Source organism: Homo sapiens, chromosome 9 (genome assembly GCF_000001405.40).
Source record: "Homo sapiens chromosome 9, GRCh38.p14 Primary Assembly".
In the NCBI taxonomy this organism is placed as follows: Eukaryota; Metazoa; Chordata; class Mammalia; order Primates; family Hominidae; genus Homo; species Homo sapiens.
The window spans coordinates 136,258,499-136,280,775 of NC_000009.12; the positions used below are offsets into that span (position 1 = coordinate 136,258,499).

General features: G+C 57.2%; 1 protein-coding gene across 18 annotated transcripts in view, besides 5 other annotated features; it reads right to left on the reverse strand.

Moving 5' to 3' along the window:
* Window positions 1–172: part of a biological region, named in NCBI's record as "9q34.3 QSOX2 distal recombination region", that runs on past the window's edge. NCBI's record gives its function as "recombination_partner: LOC108254695".
* Window positions 1–172: part of a meiotic recombination region, noted in NCBI's record as "meiotic double-strand break mapped by DNA meiotic recombinase 1 chromatin immunoprecipitation followed by single-stranded DNA enrichment and sequencing in the germ cells of some male individuals with the PRDM9 A/B genotype", that runs on past the window's edge. NCBI's record gives the evidence for it as "EXISTENCE:chromatin immunoprecipitation-seq evidence [ECO:0000229][PMID:25395542]".
* CCDC187 (coiled-coil domain containing 187) overlaps window positions 1–22,277 on the reverse strand; it is a 56,929-nt gene that overhangs the window by 8,526 nt on the left and 26,126 nt on the right. For 6 of the 18 annotated variants that reach the window (XM_047423381.1, XM_047423379.1, XM_047423388.1 and 3 more), the window contains exons 11-22: window positions 18,153–18,229; window positions 17,639–17,803; window positions 16,385–16,509; window positions 16,160–16,251; window positions 9,551–9,627; window positions 8,886–9,019; window positions 7,458–7,545; window positions 5,124–5,300; window positions 3,813–3,964; window positions 1,621–1,766; window positions 865–950; window positions 434–503 (exon numbers count right to left, since the gene is read on the reverse strand). In XM_047423381.1, the coding sequence (XP_047279337.1) occupies window positions 434–503; window positions 865–950; window positions 1,621–1,766; window positions 3,813–3,964; window positions 5,124–5,300; window positions 7,458–7,545; window positions 8,886–9,019; window positions 9,551–9,627; window positions 16,160–16,251; window positions 16,385–16,509; window positions 17,639–17,803; window positions 18,153–18,229 (1,389 nt within the window). Of the gene's footprint in view, window positions 1–193; window positions 504–864; window positions 951–1,620; window positions 1,767–3,812; window positions 3,965–5,123; window positions 5,301–7,457; window positions 7,546–7,959; window positions 8,098–8,885; window positions 9,020–9,519; window positions 9,628–16,159; window positions 16,252–16,384; window positions 16,510–17,638; window positions 17,804–18,152; window positions 18,230–22,277 lie in introns of those variants that run through there. The other 12 variants (NM_001378188.1, XM_047423385.1, XM_047423382.1 and 9 more) reach the window with 10 other exon arrangements.
* Window positions 8,739–8,898: a silencer, noted in NCBI's record as "silent region_20505". NCBI's record gives its function as "represses an Ori minimal core promoter by ATAC-STARR-seq in GM12878 lymphoblastoid cells {active_cell/tissue: GM12878}" and the evidence as "EXISTENCE:reporter gene assay evidence [ECO:0000049][PMID:35858748]".
* Window positions 8,963–9,338: a silencer, noted in NCBI's record as "fragment chr9:139159307-139159682 (GRCh37/hg19 assembly coordinates)". NCBI's record gives its function as "represses an EF-1alpha promoter that drives an FKBP-Casp9 reporter gene in an ReSE screen in phorbol 12-myristate 13-acetate-treated (for megakaryocytic differentiation) K562 erythroleukemia cells {active_cell/tissue: K562(+PMA)}" and the evidence as "EXISTENCE:reporter gene assay evidence [ECO:0000049][PMID:32094911]".
* Window positions 9,139–9,208: an enhancer, noted in NCBI's record as "active region_29303". NCBI's record gives its function as "activates an Ori minimal core promoter by ATAC-STARR-seq in GM12878 lymphoblastoid cells {active_cell/tissue: GM12878}" and the evidence as "EXISTENCE:reporter gene assay evidence [ECO:0000049][PMID:35858748]".

The window sequence follows — 22,277 nt, forward strand, 5'->3', positions numbered from 1 at the left end:
CATCTGCTCCCGCCCCACCTGCAAATTGGGGACTTGGCTCTCGGGGGGGGCCCCGGCCAAGTGTAAGGTTCAGAAAGAGAAAAATGTAATCGGTGCAGAAACCTCCGTCAGCTGAAGACGCTCAGGCAGTGCTGGCTTCCAAACACTTAAAAATCTGCCCCAGATGAACGAAGTTGCGACTAAAACAATCCCAGCCAGTTATGACTTTTAATTTCTCCAGAAGAGCCGCTGCGTCACCTCCGGTAGGAGATGGAGCCGGCCACTCTTCTTGCAGTGAAGGGGTCTGAGGCCAGGGTGGGGGGCCACCAGGGCCCATCTTCTTTGCTTTCCGTCCTTGTCCAGTGGCTGAGCTCCAGCCTCGGACAGGCTCTGCTGGATGTGGGGGAAGTGTCTGGCGCCGTGGAGGCCCACGCGGTGTTTCCAGGGTGCTTACCTGGGGGTGGCTCCTTCACCTCCCGAGACCTGCACTGAGCTGTGGGGAGGCGCCCCTCCGCCTCCTCGGCCTGGGGGGTGAGACGGGAGTGGACATGGCACAGGGCCCTGAAGGGAGGGCACCAAGGGCCAGGGATAGACCAGGATGGATGGGGACAGATGGGGACAGACTGGGGTGGATGGGGACAGCCGGGGGCGGACAGGGACAGATGGGGACAGGCAGGGACAAACAGGGACCCACTGCAGGAACCAAGGACCGGCCACAGGAACCAAGGGGCCCCAACCAAGATGAAGATCAAGTCACAGATTGGCAGAATGTTGGGGGGGAGGGTACCAAGATGAAGATCAAGTCACAGATTGGCAGAATGTTGGGGGGGGGTGGTCCCTGAAACAGGCGGTGCTGGGGAAAGGGCTTCCAGGGAGAGTGCGTACGGGAAAGGCTGGGCCCAGCCGCTGTCCGTCCGGGGGGCTCACGTGCTGCAGGCCCAGCAGAGGGGCCCGAGGCTGCTCCCCAGGCTCTGAAAGACACAATCCCAGGAGTCACCAGCAGCAACCACAGACTGAGACCAGGAAGGGAAGGAAGGAGGCAGGGGCAGAATGGAGCTGCCAGGGGGTGGGGGATGGGGAGAGACAAGCTAACCTCAAGGGAGACAGGGACGGCCTGGGGCCACATCCAGCAATCTGCCCTGCCATGTCCCCTGCCTGGAGGCCCGAGGGTCTGCTCAGCCCCAGCCTGGGAAAAGCAGCCTCTGAGACAAGCGCAGGGCAGGCCCTGCCCAATCCTCCTTCTGCCCTGGCCAGGGGCTCTCTGTGGGCCTGTGTTTCTGGGACCTGCCTGGCAACAGTCTGAGGGCTGCACGTGGCCCAGGGGCTCTGAGTAGCCGCCCCATGAGGAGCCCTTCCCAGACAGAACCTGAGTGGTTTCCCGGCTGGCACACCCCTCGATCTGTATCTTGGGAATGCTGGCTGCCAGTGCACGGGGTGGCCCGCCTGCTGGCAAACCCACTGTGTGCTCTGCTGTGCTGAGATGCAGAAACAGGGAGGCCGGGGTGGCCCGGTCACAGGCGGGGCACAGCAGGCCAGAACACAGGCCTACCTGACCCTGGGCCTAATGCCACCCCACACTGCCCAGGGCCCACTGAATGAGCATCCGTCTGACCCTGGGCGGTCGCCGCGGCTGCTCATTACCTTGACTGACATGGCTGCCACTCTCCACCAGCGGGCCCTGGGGGTCGTGTGTGTCCTCGCCCCATGCTGGCCTCGGAGGCTGCTGGTGACCATCTGCATCGGAGGTTGTCTGGGGTGGCGTCACATCCTGCTGCTCAGTGGGAGGGCTGCACGGCCATGCAGAGTGGAGGTGACCGCCCGCCCGGCTGCCCCTTCCCAGGTGTCCAGCCCTGGCCACAACCTCCACCAGCACCCTCTCCCTGGGAACAACCTCATGTCACATCCAGGGATGGCTGTGGTCAGTGGCCAAGCAGAAGACGGGACTGTGACCCCCTCACCCAGGCAAGGTGGGTGGGAGAGGCCTGTGTCTCCCCAGCATGTGGCCCCTTGAGACTTCTGCCTGGAGATGGACTGTCCCTCCCAGGTGCACATGCTGGGCCCCCGAGAATCACGGTGCCACCCCAGGCCTGCACTGACCTCCAGGCACCCCCCCATCTGACTCTGCCTGGGTCACACTGCTGGGGTGGCAAGAAAACTCCTGCTGTCTCAGGTGCCTGCCCGGCGACACGTCGTCTGCCTCCCTTTCTCCCCCGGGCACCTGCCACATCTGGGCACAGCTTGTTGCCTCCACCCAAGGGTGCCCCTGAGCATTTCCCCCCGGATTCACAGATGGTCCAGGGTGAGCAGGAGGTTCAGAGGAGGGTGGCCCTAAGGGCCTGGAAACCCTGTATCCCAAGGTAGATGCAGCTGAGGGGCTGCAGCCCGCACTCTCACTGGGGCAGCAATGGGAGGGCATCTTGACGCCAGTGTGTGCCCCACACAGGCTCTGGAGGGAGACAGGGCAGTGCCTCCAGGGCCCGGCACTCAGCCCACAAAGCAGACCAAGGCACTGTGCTCTTAGAGCCGCCCCAGAAACAGAACAGGCTGAATAAAAATGGGAACAGGAACCCCCATGTCCTAAAGGATTCATTCCCCTCCCCTACACCCTCCTCGGCACGCGGCGTCTCAGGCCAGGACCCCACAGCAGCTCCATCTGCTCTGTCCAGCTTCTTCCTCACTCCCGTGGGAGTGCTCATAGACACACCCCGACCCCAAGGCGCCCAGCTCACAGCTGAGCTTCTCTCGAACGGCCCAATGAAGGAGGGAAGCGCACCTGCTCCCGTGTGGCAGGACCCCCAGCAAAACACCGCAGGCGAGCTTCTCGTGGGTAGGCTCCCAGGGAGCCGAAGTTTTCTCTGTGAATACCTCACTTTTCTCTATTTTCTAGCTGTGGACAGTGCTACACATCGCTGGTGTGACAAGCCGAGCATAGGGTGTACCCCTCCGCCAGGAGGGTGGGCTGACACCCATGCTGGGGTCCAGGTCTGCAACCATACATGTACCGGCCCCTCCCCTCCAGCCCTATAAGCAAACCCTGGGGGACCAAGGGGCGGTATTTGGCCTGGAAGCCTCTTCAGAGATTCCTGGGACTGGCAACTGGTTGCAATGTGAATGACAGATCAGTCTGTGCCCAGGTTTATTTGAAAGCTTCAGGAGGAGGCACGGAGCCAATGGCCGAGCCTGAGTGGCCAGCAACTCCCCTCACTGCAGAGGCCCCTCTGGGCTGGGAAAGAGCCTCAGGACGCTCCCCCAGGCAGACAGGGGCCTCCAAAGGCTGCTCCCCCGGGTCTGCGCTGCCCCCCGCTTTCTGCTTCGAGGGGTTCTGTGATAGAGTCTTGAGGGCTGCTGGCCCTGGGGGCCTGAGCTCAAAGGAGAGAAGGCCTCCTCGGCCCTCCAGGGCCATTTCGAGCCCGGAAAGAAGAGCTGTTCCCAGCATCAGGAAGCCGGGAGGCTCTTGATGGGAAAAACAGCTCCTCCTCCCATGGCCAGGCTCTCGGGCAGCGGCCAGGCTCTCGGGCAGGTGACCCTGGTCATCACTCCCCCTCCCCTGCTCCATGGGGACAGTCCAGGCAGAGCCCTGGTGCCCTTTAATGAGGCGCTTTTGTTGCAAACCAAAGCCAACGGCCATACGGCCAAGCCTCAGAGAAGGTTGAGCTGCCACCGGCCGGCAGAACAGCCCCCAGCCACCCTGGGAGGGGATGCCCAGGGCTACACGTGCCACCCCGGCCCCTGAGCCAGGCTCGTCCACCGGCCACCCGGGGCAGAAAAGGCTTCTCAGGGGAACATCAGGGTCCAGACCCCGACCCCCGACCCCCTAAGACCAACCAACTCACCGCGTGGCCTTTGAGCTTGCGGGGCTGCTCTGGGGGCGATGGCTGGTGGAGCTGCTGGGCCTGCATGGGGTCAGGGGACACAGGGAGGCCTCTGGCTGCTGGCTTGTCTCTGAGCCTCCCTCCCAGGCGGCCTTGACTTTGGGGCTGGAACCCTGTAAGAAATGGTGCAGGAGAGCCTGGCAAGGCCACCTCTGCCCATTTCCTCCTCAGAAAAGCTGGTGGCTTCACGTGGCTGTGGCTGTGGCAGGGCTAGGGCAGTGCCGGGGCTGCTTGCTCCCCACTGGGTGCCAGGCTGAGACAGGACCTCTCATTTGAGCAGGGGTCCTGCACCCCCACTGAGAGGTATGGATGGGAGGCCCAGAATGAGGAGTTTTTCCCAAGGCTGGCCAGAGACCCCCATGCCCAGCTCTGGAATCAGGTTGCTGGTGTCCCCTCTCCTGCAGCCCAGCCTGGAGCAGGTGCTTCAGAGAGCTCAGATCATTCAATCCTCATCCCCACCCTCCAGGTGAGCCTGCTGCCCTCCCTGCCTTACAGAGGAGACGCGCAGGTGGGGAAGGCACATAGCTTGCCTGGGGACAGTCCCCCACCCCTTGTCCACACAGCGTCCTCACTCCGTCTGCCGGTGGACATGGGGGACAGGAGCCTCCCTCCAAGGATGCAGCTGCTGCTTGGGGTCCCTGAGGGGCTGGCCTCCCTGAGGAGCTCCCAGCCACACTCTCCTTCCTGCCTGGGTCCCATGAGATCCCCAGTCCTGCTTATCCTCCCCACCCAATCCACCGCTGCCCCCACCTGAAGTCTGGCTCTGCTCTAGGGCCTGGCCAGGACCACCCCATCCAGGAAGCCTCCTCAGCCCCCCAGCAGTGTCCCCTCCCTCCCTCCATCTGCCCCACCCCACCCCCCAGCAAGTCTGCCTGGGGCCACAGGCTTTTTTTTTTTTTTTTTTTGAGACGAAGTCTCCCTGTCGCCCAGGGTGGAGTGCAGTGGCATATCTCGGCTCACTGCAGACTCCGCCCCCCGGGGTTCATGCCATTCTCCTGCCTCAGCCTCCCGAGTAGCTGGGACCACAGGCACCCACCACCTTGCCTGGATAATTTTTTGTATTTTTAGTAGAGACGGGGTTTCACTGTGTTAGCCAGGATGGTCTCCATCTCCTGACCTCGTGATCCACCCGCCTCGGCCTCCCAAAGTGCTGGGATTACAGGCGTGAGACACCGCGCCCGGCCCACAGGCATTTTTACAAGGGACTTGCACGATCATGGGAAGGGGACAGCATTTCTGCAGCTGAGTCCCAGCCCAGGCGAGAGCACCCACCTGCTGCAGCTTGGCCTGGGCCTGCAGCTCGTGCGCTGGGACGACGTCCGTGGGCCCCGGGATGGGGAGGATGTCCACAGGCCCCGGCATGGAGACGACGTCCCTCTGATGCTGCAGAAGCAGCTTCCTGTCCCGGTGCCTGAACAGCTGCGTGTGTCTCAGGTATTGGATTTCCCTCTGAGCAGGCAAAATAAGCAGATGTCAGCATAACCCCGGAGCCAGCAGGGGAAAAGGCCAACAAAAGGGAAGGGGTGTCTGGGGGGATGCCCTGGCCCTCACACTGGGAGGCCTCCCTTTCCCTCCAATTGGCCTTTGCCCGCCCCTCCTGCCGGGCCTAGGATACCCCCATGGCCTTGGGCTTCCCTGGGCTTGGTGGAGGAGGCAGCTGCGGGCGGCAGGAGGGAGGCAGGTACTCTTTCCCCAGGGCCCACGCAGGGCTGGCACAGGCTGGCTGGGCCTCGCCCTCCCTCTCTGCAGGCTCCAGGCACTGCCCCCACCCCGTCACTCCTTTACAACTGTTCTTTCTGTTCCCCACAGCGTCCCTGGTGGACGCACCCTCGGAACAACCTTGCACAGAGCCCAGGGCCGGGCCGGGCCGTTGCACACTCGCCCTGGGAGACAGCAGCTTCACTGGTGAGACGGGAAAGCGAGGCTCTGCCAAGCGGGTGTCTGGTCCATGGCCCCACTGGGGAGTCCCAGACCCCACCTCCACCACGGCATCTCTATCTGCGACACGCAGCCTGGCTGTGGCTGGGAGTCCCTGGCCCCGGCCAGCTCCAGCTCCTCCCGCCTGGGATCCCTGGGCAGCGCCTGTTCTGCCAGGCCCCGTCGTTGCCATGTGACATGCAGACCCCTTCTAAGCCCCTTTTGTTTCCCCGGCTCACGTTGTTCTCTGTGGTGCCTGCCTTTTCCTGTTTCTCCGTATCTGAGAGGACCTGTGCATGGGTCTGTGGCCTGGGTCTCCGCCCCCAGCTCCCTTGCCTGTAATGCCCCATGCCTGACACCCCAGGTCGTAGTATGTACAGGGCATCCAGGGCAGGGATGGGGATCCCGGGGCTTTCCAGTCAACATAAGGTCCTGCACTGACCCCATTTCCCAGCAGAGGGTCGTGGGCAAAGTAGTCCCCCACCCCAGCTCACCTTTTTTTTTTTTGAAACAAGGTCTCACTCTGTTGCCCAGGCTGGAGTGCAGTGGTGCAAGCTCAGCTCACTGCAGCCTTGACCTCCCAAGCTCAAGCAATCCTCCCATCTCAGTCCACCAAATAGCTGGGACTATAGGCATTGGCCACCTATAGTGGCAGATTTATTTTTTGTAGAGACGGGGTCTTGCTATGTTGCCCAGGCCTGTCTCACATTCCTGGGCTCAAGCGATCCTCCCACCTTGGCCTCCCAAAGTGCTGGAATTACGGATGAACTGCCTCACCCAGCCAGGTTCTTTTATCTGTACCAAGGGTGTTAGCGCCAGCCTCTGCCCCACAGCATGGGGGCACTGAAGTGAGGATGCAGGCACAGCGGCCGCGACCTGTGAGGAGCCCTTGAGCCTGTGACCTGGGCAGGGGCCGGCAAGGGTCCTCGTCCTGGCTCTCAGGCTTGCCCCTCAGCCTTGCTCTCTGCCGCAGGCAAAGCCCTGACTCTGGCAGCTTTTCCCCCCTCCACATGTGCCCCCAGCACCGACTTTCCCTGGGGGTCTGCTTCCTCCAGTCCCTGGTGACAACGATGGCAGGAAGGCAGGTGCAGCCACGGATGGAGACCCCTCCCTGCCAGGCGCGGCTAGGGATTCACCTGCACCACCCTCCCAGCCCCCATGCATGTGCACATCAGGCTTCTCCCCATTTTTCAGATGAGGGAACTGGGCTCGGAGCAGCTGGGAAAGTCCTCTGAGGGCGTACATGGCACACGTCCACCCGGGTAAGTGCTGGCTGCACTAAACTCTCCCAACCCCCTGCTTTACAGAGACCACAATTATTCTCTGGTTCCAAGGAGGAAACTGAGGCTCCAAGAGACAAAGCCACTTGCTCAAGGTGACATCCAGCAAAAGGCTGAGCCTGGTCTGGAGCCAGGGCCACAGGGCCACCCTCCACTCTGGCCACGAGGCCCCCAGAAGGCCGCAGACACTCCTTGTGTACAGGACCACGCTCCACCCTGGCCGTGATGCCCTCTTGGGCCGTGGACACTCCTTCTATACTTCGGGGTCCTGTATGGCCCTGGAGGGTGGCAAGGGCTTGGGAATTCTTTAGCTCTGTTGCTGGGGAATGTTCAGATTCCAGGCAAGAAGATGACACGACTGCCTCTGTGAGCCGCCCACCCTGACCCACCAGGCCTGTGCTGGCCCCACCTGCTCCTTCTCCAATCTGCTGAGGGCTTGCTGCTGCTTCTCAACCAGCGCGGCCAGCACAGCTCTGTCCCTCTTGCTGTCCAGGCACCTGGGGGGAGGTGGCAACATCACTGCCAATGTTGACAGCCCGTGCAAGTGGATATAGAAAGTCACAGACACAGCCAGCCCTGGTCGGCCACATCAACCTGGAATGCCCTCCCAAGGTGCAGGCACCAGGGAGGACGCAGCCATGCGTGGACAGGCTTGGAAGCCTTGGGGTGGCCAGATGGCCCAACCCGGGCTGTCACTCTTCCACCCCTCACAGCCACTTTTGGACTTTTGGGTCTAAAGAGACAAAGGCTAGCCGAGAGCCGCCCCTGCCACCCTGAAGGCCCAGCCCAGGCCAGTGGGTCCTCTGGGGAGGGAGGTGGGGGTCACCCACATCCACCCCCCACCCATCATGGAATAAACACCCTCAGTCTGGCCCGCTCAGACACCGGGTGAGGATGTTAACTGGAATCACCTTTCTGGAGACCAATGTGGCAGTATCAAGCGGCTTCCAGATGCATTCTCACTGACCCGGTCATTCCATTTCTAAGGTTTTACCTTAAGGAAATGATCTCTCTATCTTCATTAATAATGGCAAAACGTTGGAGACAACCTAGAGGCCCGGAGATCCGGGACAAGCGAAGGGAGTTACAGCCCTGTCTCTACGCCGGTGCGCCCTGTGTGTTATAGCGGTTATGTAGCTACACAGAAAGGTTTTCCTGACATATAAATTGAAAACGCAAGTTACAAAACAGCACGTACTGCCCATTTGCAAGTTGAAATAGCCATGTGTGTTTCTCCCCAAAACAGAGTATCCGCACTGGGCGTGGTGGCTCTCGCCTGTAATCCCAGCACTTTGAGAGGCCGTGGCTGGCGGATCAACTGAGGTAGGGAGTTCGAGACCAGCCTGACCAACATGGAGAAACCCCATCTCTACTAAAAATACAAAATTAGCTGGGCGTGGTGGCGCACACCTGTAGTCCCAGCTACTCGGGAGACTGAGGCAGGAGAATCCCTTGAACCTGGGAGGCGGAGGTTGCAGTGAGCCTAGATCGCGCCACGCGCCTCTACACTCCAGCCTGAGCAACAAGAGCGAAACTCTGTCTCAAAACAAAACAAAACAAAACAAAAAAACAAAGTATGCACAAAGATGATCTCAGAGGTCACCTTTGGAACGATGGGGGTATTTTTTTATTTGTGTATTGAGTACTTTACTGCCTTATGTAAGTTTCAGCAAACACCTATTACTGTTTGGACCAGTACCTCTTGTTTCTCAAAACGCTGTCGGGGCCACGGGCGGGACCCGGACGGGGCAGGGAGGGGGCGGGGCTACAGCAGGGCGGGGCTACAGCAGGGCGGGGCTACGGCGGGGCGGGGCCGGCGCCAGGCGCATGCGCTCACCCTCGTCGATGCTCCAGCCAGGCCAGCTCCGCGAGCGTTTTCTCCTGGAGCGCCATCTCTCGCAGGCGCAGCAGCGCGGCCTGGTGCTGTGCTCGCAGCTCCTCCTCCCGCAGGCTCCGCTCCAGCATCTGCAGCTTGAAGCGGCCCAAGGCCCCTAAAGCTCTGGGTTCGGTGCTTCCGGGCCTCGCGGGGCTCCAGTAGGGTGGGCCGCGTCACCGCCTAGCTTCTAGACCGCTCCCAGCACAGGCCACCGCCTCCGAGAAGCCCTCTCGGACTGCCCGCCCCTCCCATCCCCCTATGCCGCCCTCGCTTCCCCGACTGTGAGCTGGCGGGGCAGGCAGGATCTTTAGCATCTCGGCCTCACCACCAGCCCTGATCCAGGAAGCCCAGGCCACCTGCCCTAAAATATACAACCTGGGCGGGGGCTAACCCTGCCCAAAGCACCATGTTGAAATGCCTGCCCCCCTCTGTCACCCAGGGCGGGAGGAACGGGCTTGGGTAGCTGTCAGCTGGAAGAGCGGGTGACGCGATCGCCGGAAGAACCTCCCAACCCAGGACCTGCCTTGGCCCTTCTTAGTGGAAGGACAGTTGGGTCCGGGGCCCACTACCAGGGCCGTGCTGGGTCCTGAAATTGTGCCTCTCCCCCAGGGGACCTCTCCACGTACCTGGTGGGTGGGGTTGTCCGGAGGGAAGAACTTGGCCAGGGGAAGCTGGGAGAGGGCTCCGTCAGGGCCCTCCACCTCTGAGGAAGGAAGCGCCATGGTTGGGTCATGTAGGGGGTCTGAGTGCCCCGTGTCAGGGGCCATTTCTACCGGAGGGCCTCATAAAAGTAGGAGGTCTAGGGCAGTTTAGTGTCCCCATCCCATCCCGGACACACAGGGCTTCACGCAGAATCCACAAGACCACGCGGGAAGGGACAGGCAGTCTCTTGATGTGAAGTTGTGGTTTGTGACCCTACTGATCATGGGAAAGACCAGACCAAAAGTAGAGGAAGCTCAGGGAGACAGCCCAGCTGCTCTGCGTCTACAGGCTTCTAAAGGAGGGGAGAGTGAGGCCCAGAGAGGGAGAAGGGCTGTCGGGGTCTAGCACCAAGGAGCTGGCAGGTGACAGCAGATCCCAGATCCCCAGCTGAAGTAGCTGACCTGCTGCCGACCTCTGCTGGCCATGCTTCTGTTCTGAGTGATGGAAAAAGGAGCCTGTACTTCAAGCGATCCTTAAGGACGTTCCCTCCCACCAAAGACAGAGCAAAAGGGACTGGATTTTGGCTTTGCCATCCCATCTGCAACAACTGAAAAAATCACGTAAATACACACACACATGTGTGTTTATATAGAGATATGTGTGTGTATACATATATATATATTTTTTCACACACACATATGAAATAACAGTTTTCCAGGCACTGGACTTGAGGCAACATAGCACAGTGATCCCTGAGAGACAGAAAACAAAGGAGGGGAGGAGACTTGCGATGCTCACGGCTTACTGCCTCAGAGAGTTGCCAGGCTATGGTGAGGGAGGGGAAGCTGGCTGAGCTGGAGGACTCCCTGGGTAGAGGAGACAGCAGAGAGTCTGGGAGGACCAAGGCAGCTGGAGTTTGTGGGGGCAGAGTGTCAGAGAGGAGAGAGTCGCACAGAGAGAGGACCTCTGAGATGTATCAAGTGTCCCTCTGGAGTATTCAGTAGAGAACTGATGGATGAATGCGTGTCAAGAAGCTACCAGATGCTGGGACAGAAGCGTTCCGGGGGACTGGAAGCCTGGTAATGACGCCTGTTTCCAGTAGTCAGGCTGGAGGACCTTAGGACTCCCAGGTCACTGGGCAGGCAGTGTACACAGAACGTTCTTGCCTTGACTGTCGGAAATGATTAGCCCCAGGCTGAGCACTGATCCAGATCGACCTAACACACTATTAATGAAAAGTCTGAAAGGACCAAATTACTTCTAAATAACTGCAGTCCCGAAGAAAGCTTAAGAATGTTTATAGGGGCCAGTGCGGTGGCTCACGCCTGTAATCCCAGCACTTTGGGAGGCCAAGGTGGGTGGATCACGAGGTCAGGAGATGGAGACCATCCTGGCTAACATGGTGAAACCCCGTCTCTACTAAAATACAAAAAATTAGCTGGGCGTGGTGGTGGGCGCCTGTAGTCCCAGGTACTCGGGAGGCTGAGGCAGGGGAATTGCTTGAACCTGGGTGGTAGAGGTTGCAGTGAGCTGAGATTGCGCCACTGCACTCCAGCCTGGCAACAGAGTGAGACTGTCTCAAAAGGAAAAATTAAAAAAAAGGAATGTTTACAAGAATACAAAAATATCTAGCACTCAGCAAGGTAAAATTCACAGGGCCCAGAAGATATGCAAAGAAACCAGAAAAACACAACCAGTAATGAGCAGGATAATTTATTAACAGTATCCCAGGCTTGACGTGGGTGTGAGAATTGGCAGAGAAGGACATTAGAAGTTTCGTAACTCTATCGCATATGTTAAGATGTTAAGTAGAGCCACAGAGGATATAAAACGAAAAGATCCAAATGGAATGTGTAAACTGATGAAAATTAAATCACTTGAGATGAAAAACACACTGGATGGGATGAAGGGCAGACTAGACACTGCAGAAGGAGAGATGAACGAACTGGAAGATATAGCAATAGAAACTATCCAAAAGGAAACAGAGAAGAAAAAAGAATAAAAGAATACAAAGAGCTTCAGTAAGCTCACAACTTCAAGTGGCCTAATGTATGCGTAATTGTGTAAGCTCCAGCCCTACGGGGCTTAGCAGGTGTTCTCCCCATGTGCGGAGATGAGAGATCGTAAGAAATAAAGACACAAGGCAAAGAGAGAAAGAGAAAACAGCTGGGCCCGGGGGACCACTACCATCAAGAAGCGGAGACAGGTAGTGGCCCCCAATGGCTGGGCACGCTCATATTTATTGTATACAAGACAACGGGGCAGGGTAAGGAGTCTTAATCACTGAGTCGTCCAAGTGATTAAAAAGGTCAAGCAAGTCACGTGATCATAGGACAGGGGGCCCTTCCCTTTTAGGTAGCCGAAGCAGAGAGGGAAGGCAGCATACATCAGCGTTTTCTTCTGTGTACTATAAGAAAGATCAGAGACTTTAAGACTTCCACTATTTCTTCTTCTGCTATCTACTACGAACTTTAAAGAGGAACCAGGAGTATGGGAGGAACATGAAAGTAGACAAGGAGGGTGACCACTGAAGCACCACAGGGAGGGGTTTAGGCCTCCGGATGACTGGGGGCAAGCCTGGATAATATCTAACCTCCCACAAGAAGCTGGTGGAGCAGAGCGTTCCCTGACTCCTCCAAGGAAAGGAGACTCCCTTTCATGGTCAGCTAAGTAACGGGTGCCTTCCCAGACACTGGCATTACCGCTTGACCAAGGAGCCCTCAAGCGGCCCTTATGCGGGTGTGACAGAGGCCTCACCTCTTACCTTCCAGGTCACTTCTCACAATGTCCCTTCAGACCTGATGCTATACCCACCGGTTATCCCTAGGTTATATTTGTAATGCAACAAAGAGTAATATTAAAAGCTAAATGATTAATAATGTTTATCCTAATGATTGATAATTGTCCATGATCATCTCTATATCTAATTTGTAATATAACTATTCTTGTTCTAACTATTTTCTTTATTATACTGAAACAGTTTGTGCCTTCAGTCTCTTGCCTCGGCACCTGGGTAATCTTCTGCCCACATAATTGGAGTCCCTGAAGGAGAGGTGAGAGAAAGAGGAGCAAAAAGATATTTGAACAAATAGTGGCTGAACTATTTCCAAATTTGAAGAAAATGAAAAATCCACAGGTCGAAGAATCTCAACAAACCCAGAGGACAAGAAATATGGTCTGGGCGTGGTGGCTCCTGCCTATAATCCCAGCACTTTGGGAGGCTGAAGTGGGCAAATCACCTCAGGTCAGGAGTTCAAGACCAGCCTGGCCAACATGGTGAAATCCTGTCTCTACAAAAATACAAAAATTAGCCGGGTGTGGTGGTGGGTGCCTGTAATCCCAGCTACTTGGGAGGCTGAGGCAGGAGAATCGCTTGAACCTGAGACGCAGAGGTTGCAGTGAGCCGAGATTGTGCCATTGCACTCCAGCTTGGGCAACAGAGCGAGACTCTGTCTCAAAAAATAAAAATTAAAAAATGAAGAATAACAATAACAAAGGACATCATAATAAAATTGCTCAAAACCAGTAACAAAGAGAAAGTCTTTTTTTTTTTTTTTTTTTGAGACGGAGTCTCACTCTGTCAGCCAGGCTGGAGTGCGGTGGCGCGATCTCGGCTCACTGCAAGCTCCGCCTCCTGGGTTCACGCCATTCTCCTGCCTCAGCCTCCCGAGTAGCTGGGACTACAGGCACCCGCCACCGCATCTGGCTAATTTTTTGTATTTTTAGTAGAGATGGGGTTTCACCATGTTAGCCAGGATGGTCTTGATCTCCTGACCTCGTGATCCACCTGCCTGGGCCTCCCACAGTGCTGGGATTCCAGGTGTGAGCCACCACGCCTGGCTGAGAAAGTCAAAAGCAGCCAGAGAAACAAAGACACGGTGATGTACTGACGAACCAAGAAGAATGGCAATCAATTTCTTGTCACAAATAATGCAAGCAAGAAGACAATGGAGCAATGTCTTCAAAGTACTGAAAGGGAAAAACTGCACCTAGAATTCTATGTCCAGGAAAGAGTACGTCAAAAACAGAGATGAGATGAAGGTGTCCTTAGACATCCAAAAGCTAAAGACACCAGCAGACACGCACCACCAGAAATGCTAAGGGAAATCCTTCCAGCAGAAGGAAAAGGATGCGGGTTAGAAATCTACATCTACCGGAAGCAATGGAGAGCACCAGAAATGGTAAAATGACGACTATGTGCAGATGTAAATATAAACACATATATTATTTAAAACTTTTAACAAGATAATTGGCTGTTTAAACAAAATGATAACAATGTATCGCAGAGTTTATAAAACATTTAAAATAAGCCTGGGCAACATGGCAAAACCCCATCTCTACAAAAAATACAAAAATGGCCGGGCGTGGTGGCTCACGCCTGTAATCCCAGCACTTTGGGAGATCGAGGCAGGTGGATCACCTGAGGTCAGGACTTCGAGACCAGCCTGGCCAACATGGTGAAACCCCGTCTCTACTAAAAATACAAAAATTAGCTGGGCGTGGTGGTGCACACTTGTAATCCCAGCTACTCAGGAGGCTGAGGCAGGAGAATCGCTTGAACCTGCAAGGTGGAGGTTGCAGTGAGCCAAGATTGCACCTTTGCACTCCAGCCTGGGCAACAAGAGCAAACTCTGTCTCAAGAAAAAAAAAAAAACAAAAACTAGCTTGGGGTGGTGGTGCATGCCTGTGGTCCCAGCGACTTGGGAGGCTGAGGAAGGAGGATTGCTTGAGCCCAGAAGGCAGAGGTTGCAGTGAGCCGAGATCTCACCACTGCACTCCAGCATGGGTGACACAGTGAGACCCCCATCTCAAAAAACAAACAAAACATTTAAAATAAAATTCATGACAACAATAACTTAAAGGCCAGGAAAGAAGAATTGGCCTTGTACTATAAGTGAAGTGGTCAACTGTATATACTATTATAAATCCTAAAGCAGCCACTAAAATAATAAGAGTTATAGCTCCTGAGCCAACAATGGAGATAAAATGGAATCATTAAAAACATTGCTTAATCCAAAGGGAGGCAGAAACTAAGTGGAAGAAGAAAATAAAGGACAGACAGAACAAAAGAAAAATAACCAGGTGAGACTCAAACCTAACCACATCCGTCATCACGTTCAATGTGAATAGTGTAAGCACCTCAATTAAAAGGCAGAGATTGCCAGATTGATTTTTTTAAGCAAGATCCAACTCTATGCTGCCTGTAAGAAACACACTTCAAATACAAAGATGCAAATAAATGGAAAGTAAAAGGATGGCAGTGGAGATATCATGAAACACCCGTTGAAGGAGAGCCGGAGGGGCTGTATTAATATCAGACAAAATAGCCTCTGAAGCGAAGGATACTGCTGCGGCTAAGAGGATTATTGCATCATGATAGAGGGGTGAGTTCATCAAGAGCACATAATGATCCCGAGTGTTTATGGGCCTGGTGTCAGAGCTTCAGAATACACGAAGCGAAACCTGGTAGAACTGCAAGGAGAACTCGGCAAATTGCAACGTGATATTTCAATTCCAGTCTCTTATTCATCGATAGGAATGTTAGGCAGAAAATCCAAGATGCAGTAGATTTGAAGAGCGTGATCCACCAACTTGATCTAAGTGTTACCACAGGACACTCCCCCCAGCAACAACAGAATAGACATTGTTTTCAAGGAGCACCCACTGACGTAGACTGTCTTCCAGGCCAAAACCTAAGTCTGGACATTACGAGGTTCACACAGATGTGTTTTGTGAACACAATGAAGTTAAACTAGGAATGCACAGCAGGTGCCAAGCCTGGAGATGGGGCGACTGTGGCCGGCTGGGAAGTCACCGCATCTGCCATGATCACACTGAGGGCTGAAATCACCTTGTGGTGGTCTTGCCGCTCCATCCCTACAACCTGCACGCAGACCCTTCCTTGTTTGCTGACACACATCACACGAGAGGGGAGTCTGGACCAGGTTTCTGTGCAGCCCACGCTGGGGAGGCTGTGCAGAGAGCTTTCCCACCAGGGAAAGCCGCTCAAAGGAGTGGAGGTGGGCGTATCAACGGGCCTGGAACCAGGGAGGGGTTCCTGTTCCCGAAGATGCCAAGACAGGTTGTACCCAGGCTTCCAGGAGATGGCAGCCACCTGGAGGCCAGCCTGGAGGTCATGCCAGCTCAGAGGAGCTGAGACCCTCTGTCCCGGAGCAAGGCCGACAGCAGCCTGTGCTCACCTGGCCGAGCTGCCGCATTCACCCTCCCTGGGCTGCGGACCTCCCTTCGTGTCAGGCTGGTCCCCCAGCTCTAGGGAAGCTTTCCTGCTGAGATCCTGACTCAGCTCCCCAAGGCTGGGTGGGTGGAGATGGTGTCTGCCAGCTGTCTAACCCAGTTCCCCGGGCTCAAGCGATGCCAGGGGCTAGGGCTGCCCGAGGGTCAGTCACGCGAGTGCTGGAGTCAGACAGACCTGGCTGCAGATCCCAGCTCCGCTCTGCATGGCCTTAGGCAGCCACTGTAGCCCTCTGGGCCTCCCTGTTGTGCACCTGCCTCGGGTCCCCCCTCTCGGGTTCACACTGGCCGAGGGCTCTGCCTGCCTCCAGGCCTGGGTGGGGTTTTGAAGACACCGTCACCTGCAGAGGCTGGCTTGGCCACCACATTCTCTGGCCTGTCCTCGGGACCCTGGGAGGACGTGGCAGCATCTGTGTCCAGAGGCGGGTGTGACCTACAGGTGAGGACATGCCCGGGAGACTTGGCACCAGCGCCCGCAGTGCCCACCCCACTGCCTGTGCCCAGAGACTCTGCAACCTGCATTTCCACATTGGGAGGGGGTGGCCAGCCCCAGCCCCCGACCTCACCTGGGTGTGGCCATCCCTGTGCTCTGAGAGGCTGTGGTCGGCTCTCGGTCCTTGCACATCGGAGGCTGCTCCAGCTTCAACGCCTCCTCTGGCCTGGCCTGGGTCGAGTGTCTCTCCATCAGCTGCTGTGAGGAGTGGGAGGTGTGTTGCGGAGAATGCAGGAGGCGGCTCCACAATTGTGGGCATTGGGTCGGGGCGGTCAGGCCAAGCCCAGTCCCAAGGAGGAGCCTGAAGCTGGGCAAGTCTCCAACCTCAGGGGCCTCTCTGTCCATCCTGCAAGTGGGGCCGACAGCCCCCTTCTGCCTCCCAGAGAGGCCACTGCAAGGAAGCAGGGGTGGCCAGTGCCCCGCCAGGGCTGGAGGGTGTGGGAGCTGGGGGACCAGCTGCATGGAGACGGGTGGGAAGGAAACCCCAGCTCCGGTCCCGGCTGGGGGTGCTGGGAGGGCAGGCACAGGAGGGGAGCAAATCCTGTGATGCGGGGAGCAGGGAGGGAACAGGCAGGGACACAGGGCAGGGTGTCTCTGTTGCTGTCGGTCTGAGGCTGCCTGTATGTGTACTCCCACACACACACACGTGCACACACACCCACACGCGTGCACACACCCACACGTGTGCACGCACATACTTCCATCACTCTCCTGGAGATGCCCCCCAACATGTACCGTGGATGTACTTCCCACCATCGACCCCTGAACCAAACACAGAAGAAAGGTCCACCTCCCAGAAGGTTTATCCCCTCCAGCCAGGTCACAGCCGTCAGCCACCCGATCAATCCCCTGCCAGGGTCACCGCTCCTCGGACTGGGTGACATTGTCCCCTCATGGGGCAGGTGCTGAGCCACCCCGGGCAGTGGGAGCTGCCTTTCGGAGGGGACACTATTGGTGCAGGACGGCCCGGCAGAGGTGGCTCAGGAGACACTAAGCTCCTTCCTGTCTGGCAAGAGACCTGCCGGGGGTGTAAGCACCACATGCATTTTGGGTTGCATGCTCCCATGGAGAGCCCAGGGCTCAGGGGCCTACCAAGCCTGGGACACGGACAGGTGGGAGGCTCCAATGGCCATCTGTGACCCAGCTCTGGTTCCCGCTGGGGCACCCCCCAGTGCCAGCGCCCCCAGGACACATGTGGCTGAAACCTCCTGTTTCTGCATAGAGACTTTGCTTTAAAGGGAGCTCTAGCCTCTGGCTTGCCTCCTCTTGACGAGGGGCACCCACTGTTCCTATGGAAGTCTCCGCATTCCTTCCCAGTGTGACTGACCTTCCCACCCAACCTCCTGCAGAGACAGGGGCTCCCCCTGTGGCAAGCGGCTGCTACCTCCAGCCGCCTCCTGAAGAGCAGCCCATCCAGGGTCTGCTGTGTCTCCCGGGCCTCCAGCTCTGCCCGCTGCCGCAGGAGGGCCAACGCCTGCTTCTGCTGGTCCAGCTGCAGGGAGAGCCCACAGCTCACGGTTCCTGCTGCCCCCAGCCAGGGAGGGTGGGCCCCTTCCTCGGGGGTCACCCCAAGGGATCCTATGTCTGGGCAGGGCCCCTCCCTCCAGCCCCCCGACTTTCTCTCCCTGCCAGGGGCTTCCCCATCAGCCCGGGAAGGCCAGGCGCCCTCTGTCTGTTCCTCCCACCTGCATGCTCCCCTCCCTCTCACCCGGCCACTCTGTTTCTAAATTCTATAGTCTGCACATTAGTGCCACTTCTGCTTGGCCTCTGGGAGACAGAGGCTGCTCCCGGCTCACCACCTAGCAGAAAGGGGACCCAGCTGTCATCGGCCTTGGGCAAACCTTCAGAGAATCCAGAAAGCTGGAGGTCTTCTGTTGGGTGTTGGGAAGGCATCTCACACATGGGTCCTCCTGCTGACCTGTGGAACCATGGAGGGGGATAGCTGAGTGGCCCAGGCCGCTCTCCCGGCCTCCCCTCGCCGCTGCCTTAGTGCACCATGGCATGACAGGTTAATACAGCCTCTCCACCTGCAGGGAAACTGAGGCACAGAGGCCAGGAGTGCAGGTGGCCTGAGTCCTGAGCCCAGCTGGCATCAACTCCATCAACAAGAGCCCCTGCCCTGCATGTCGAGGAAGGGCTGGGAGGGCTGCAGCCCCACGGAAGGACACGGAGACCCACTGCATCTCCTCGTCCCTGCTAAGGCTGGCTCTGCCTGACCCCGGCCAGGACCAACTCCAGGATGGATGGCAGGAGTCTGTGGGGAGGGCGGAGGCCCAGGACATGGGCTTTGCCCCCAGACAGACCGGGTCTGTCATGCATTTGCCATGTGACCTTGAACAAATCACTTGTCAGTCAGAGCCCAGTGGGGACACAGAGGTTCCTCCTTCCCTTGTGTGAGGGTCCAAGGAGATAGTTTGGTACAGGCTGGCTGTGCACTCAGCAGGTAGAAGCTGCTGCTGATGGTGTGGACAGGGTGGGTGGGTGATGACGGGGTGGGTGTGAACGGGGTGGGTGGGTGCTGATGGGGTGGGTGGGTGCTGACAGAGTGGGTGGGTGCTGAGGGGGTAAGTGGATACAGACAGGGCAGGTGGGTGCTCACAGGGTGGGTGGGTGCTGAGGGGGTGAGTGGGTGCAGATGGGGTGGGCGGGTGCTGACAGGGTGGGTGGGTGCTGAGGGGGTGGGCAGGTGCTGAGGGGGTGGGTGGGTGCTCATAGGGTGGGTGGGTGCTGATGTAAGCACCTGGCACAAGTCCAGGGCTCTCCTTGGAATTTCTGGGATTGGTCCAGAGCTTGGGTATGAAAACCTCAGCCTCTTCCTTGGATAGTGAAGTCCCCAGCAGCAGCGGAGGGGGCTTCCCTTTCTCCTTGGTGGCCCCAAGTCCCAGCTCTGACTCTGAATGCTGTTGGAGCTCCTGGCCCCACAGAGGCTGCCACCAGGAGGTGCTGCATGCAATGGGGTCTGCAGATGGTGGGGCCCTCGTGATGGCTTGTGGATGAGCGCCTTGGTCACTGTTGGCTGGTGTATGGATGGAGCCAAGACCAGGATCCCCACTCCGACTGTCCCAGAACCGGCAGCTCCTCCAGTGGACTGCTCGCCTTCCCGGAACGGAGCAGCTCAGCCATGAACCACAGCTAAGCCGGTTCCTGGGCGTTTCCACAGCAGCAGAGGACACCCCAAAGCACCGAGACAGGGTGAGCAGCAGGGGCGCCTGGCCACCTGGCGTGCACTGAGCATTCGGGGTCACCCCCGTGGCCCCCATCTAACTGGTGATGATGGGAAGTGAAGACACTCTTACACTTCTTTGTTTGGGTTCAGGTGTCTGTTCTGAGCTGAAATTCCTTTTTTGCAAAGGGAAGAAACCATCTTTTGCTTTTGTTTCATGGCCCTGAGAGAGGCTGAAGCCAGAGAAGGGTCCCCAGCCCCACCAAATGCCCCTCTGGCTCCTGGGAGCCCCACAGTCCTGCGGCCCCCACAGATCTCCCAGCTGTGGCCTGAGGAGGGGGAGTCCTGGTCATCACCGGCCATGTCAGCACCCAACAGATCAGAGGACATGGGGGGACATGAGCTGTTTGTTCCTGAGCTCTGAGCTGTGACCCCGGAGAAAGCGAGCCGTCCCCGAGCTGGGCACGGCCCTGGCTGGACAGAGACTGCAGGAGTCACCCCAGTGAGTGCCCTGACTCCTCTAGCAATGGGTGAGGAGCCCCAAAAGTCTAGCCCCACGTGCCACCCCAAAGTCCCTGGTAGCTGTGAGGATGCAATGGGACAGTTTGACAGATCTTGGCACATGGCAGCTGCGGTCACTGCTGGTAGTGATGATGTTAACTAGCTACGTTCTCAGTCATGTGGCTTGGGTCCTGGGGAGTCACAGCCTCAAACCAGAATGAGGCTGACAGGACCCTTACCCTCAGTGGGGGCTGTGGAGTTTGAGAGCCAGGGCCCTGCTGTCCAACATGGCGGCTGGCAGCCACACCCACCGTTTACATTTAAACTTAACAGAAAATAAAACATAAAATGCCACTCTTCAGTCACACTGGCCACATTTCATGGCTTGACAGCCACATGTGGCTGGTGGCTACCATATTGTACAACTCAGAATCCGGAACATTTCCCTCATTGCAGAAGGTTCTGGTGGACAGTGTGGTGTACCTGTTTAAGTCTAGAAAGTTCCACTGGACAGAGCTAGTCTACATGTTTAAGTCTAGAAGCTTCCATTGGACAGTTCTGGTCTAGGTGTTTAAATCTAGAAGGTTCCATGGACAACTCTGGTCTGGGTGTTTAAGTCTAGAAGGTTCCATTGACAGAGCTAGTCTACATGTTTAAATCTAGAAGCTTCCATTGGACAGCTCTGGTCTAGGTGTTTAAATCTAGAAGGTTCCATTGGACAGCTCTGGTCTGGGTGTTTAAGTCTAGAAGGTTCCATTGGACAGCTCTGGTCTGGGTGTTTAAGTCTGGGTTTCACTGGACAGCTCTGCTCTGGGTGTTTAAGTCTAGAAGGTTCCATTGGACAGCTCTGGTGGAAGTGTTTATGTCTAGAAGATTCTCTCGGACAGTGCTGCCTCCAGTCATAAAAACTAGACCCAACAGACTCCTGTTGCCTGTCCCCCTGGGGCTACTGCACATTCCGCCCATAGGATGGTGAATGAGGTATAGGGGTAAAAACTGCCCCTTCAGGCTGCCCCTTCCAAGGAGGAGGCAGAGCCTGACTCTGACCTCACCCCCTTGGGAGATCCTGGCCAAGACGTGGCTGTCCTGCAGCCATTGGAACTGTCTGTGACTCACAGCAGCCAGCCCCTGCCCATCCAGCCTTCAGGAAGGGCGGTCAGCAAATCCAGCAGTGGGAGAACGGAGCCCCATCCCAGCCCATACCCGGGCACTCTGGGAAGCTTGCTGCACCTCCCTGGGCTGCACTTTCTGGGAAGAGAAAAGGTGCTGCTATGGTTTGAACATTTGTCCCTCCTCATGTTGAAATACAAGGCAATTCAGCCATGAGGCGGCAATTCAGCCACAAGGCGATTCAGCCATGAGGGTTCCACCCTTGTGAATGGATGAGTGCCATCATTGTGGGTGCAGGTTCACTATAAAAGGAAGAGTCCCACCCCGTCGTCCTCTCTCCTTCTCGCCCTCCTGCCTTCCTCTCTGTGTTGATGCAGCAAGAAGGCCCTTGCCAGACACCGGCATCTTGTTCTTGGACTTCCCAGACTCCAGAACTGTGAGCCAATACATTTCTGGTCATTATAAATCATCCGGTCTCTGGGATTCTGTTACGACAGCATAAACAACCAAGGCCAGAGGCCCACGGGGGCCTTCCTGGCTCTGAACTGCCGCCCCACCCCACCGGCACATGCGCTTTCTGCCTCTTCCTGTTGAATTCTCCCCTTGGCACTCATGCCTCAGATCCCACACACTGTGTATCCTCACTTGCTCATCTTCTTACTGCCCACTTGCCCTGAAACACAGGCACTGTAAGGGCCGGGGCCTGCTCTCTCAGTGCCAGGCAGGCAGTGATGCTCAGAGGGTGTGTGTGGAAGGAAGGGGCAGGTGCATACCAGGGCTGCAGAGGCTCCCACACCCTGGAGACTGGGAGAGTCTCCCAGGGGAGGGGCCGGGGTGGGGAAGACGCAGACCCTTCCTCCCTCAGAGGGCTTCAGGTGTGAGCCCGACAAGCCCTCCCCTCCATACACACAAGCAAGCATGCACACACACATGCACGTGCACACACACACAGGACCCTCTCTGCTGGTCCACAGAGAACAGCTTCCCTGAAGCTGCCAGGTGTGGCTCCAGGGCCCTGGGTGGATGCTATCAGTTGGGGAGGACCCGATGAGCACTCCCAAGCCCCACAGCCGGGAAGCAGACTCCAGGAGGGCTCCAGCCCAAGGCTTTGAACCCAGACCAGGACTGGAACCCTTCTCCTCCCCCTGGCACTGGCCCTGCAGCAGGAACACCTGGGGCTCCGCCCACTCCC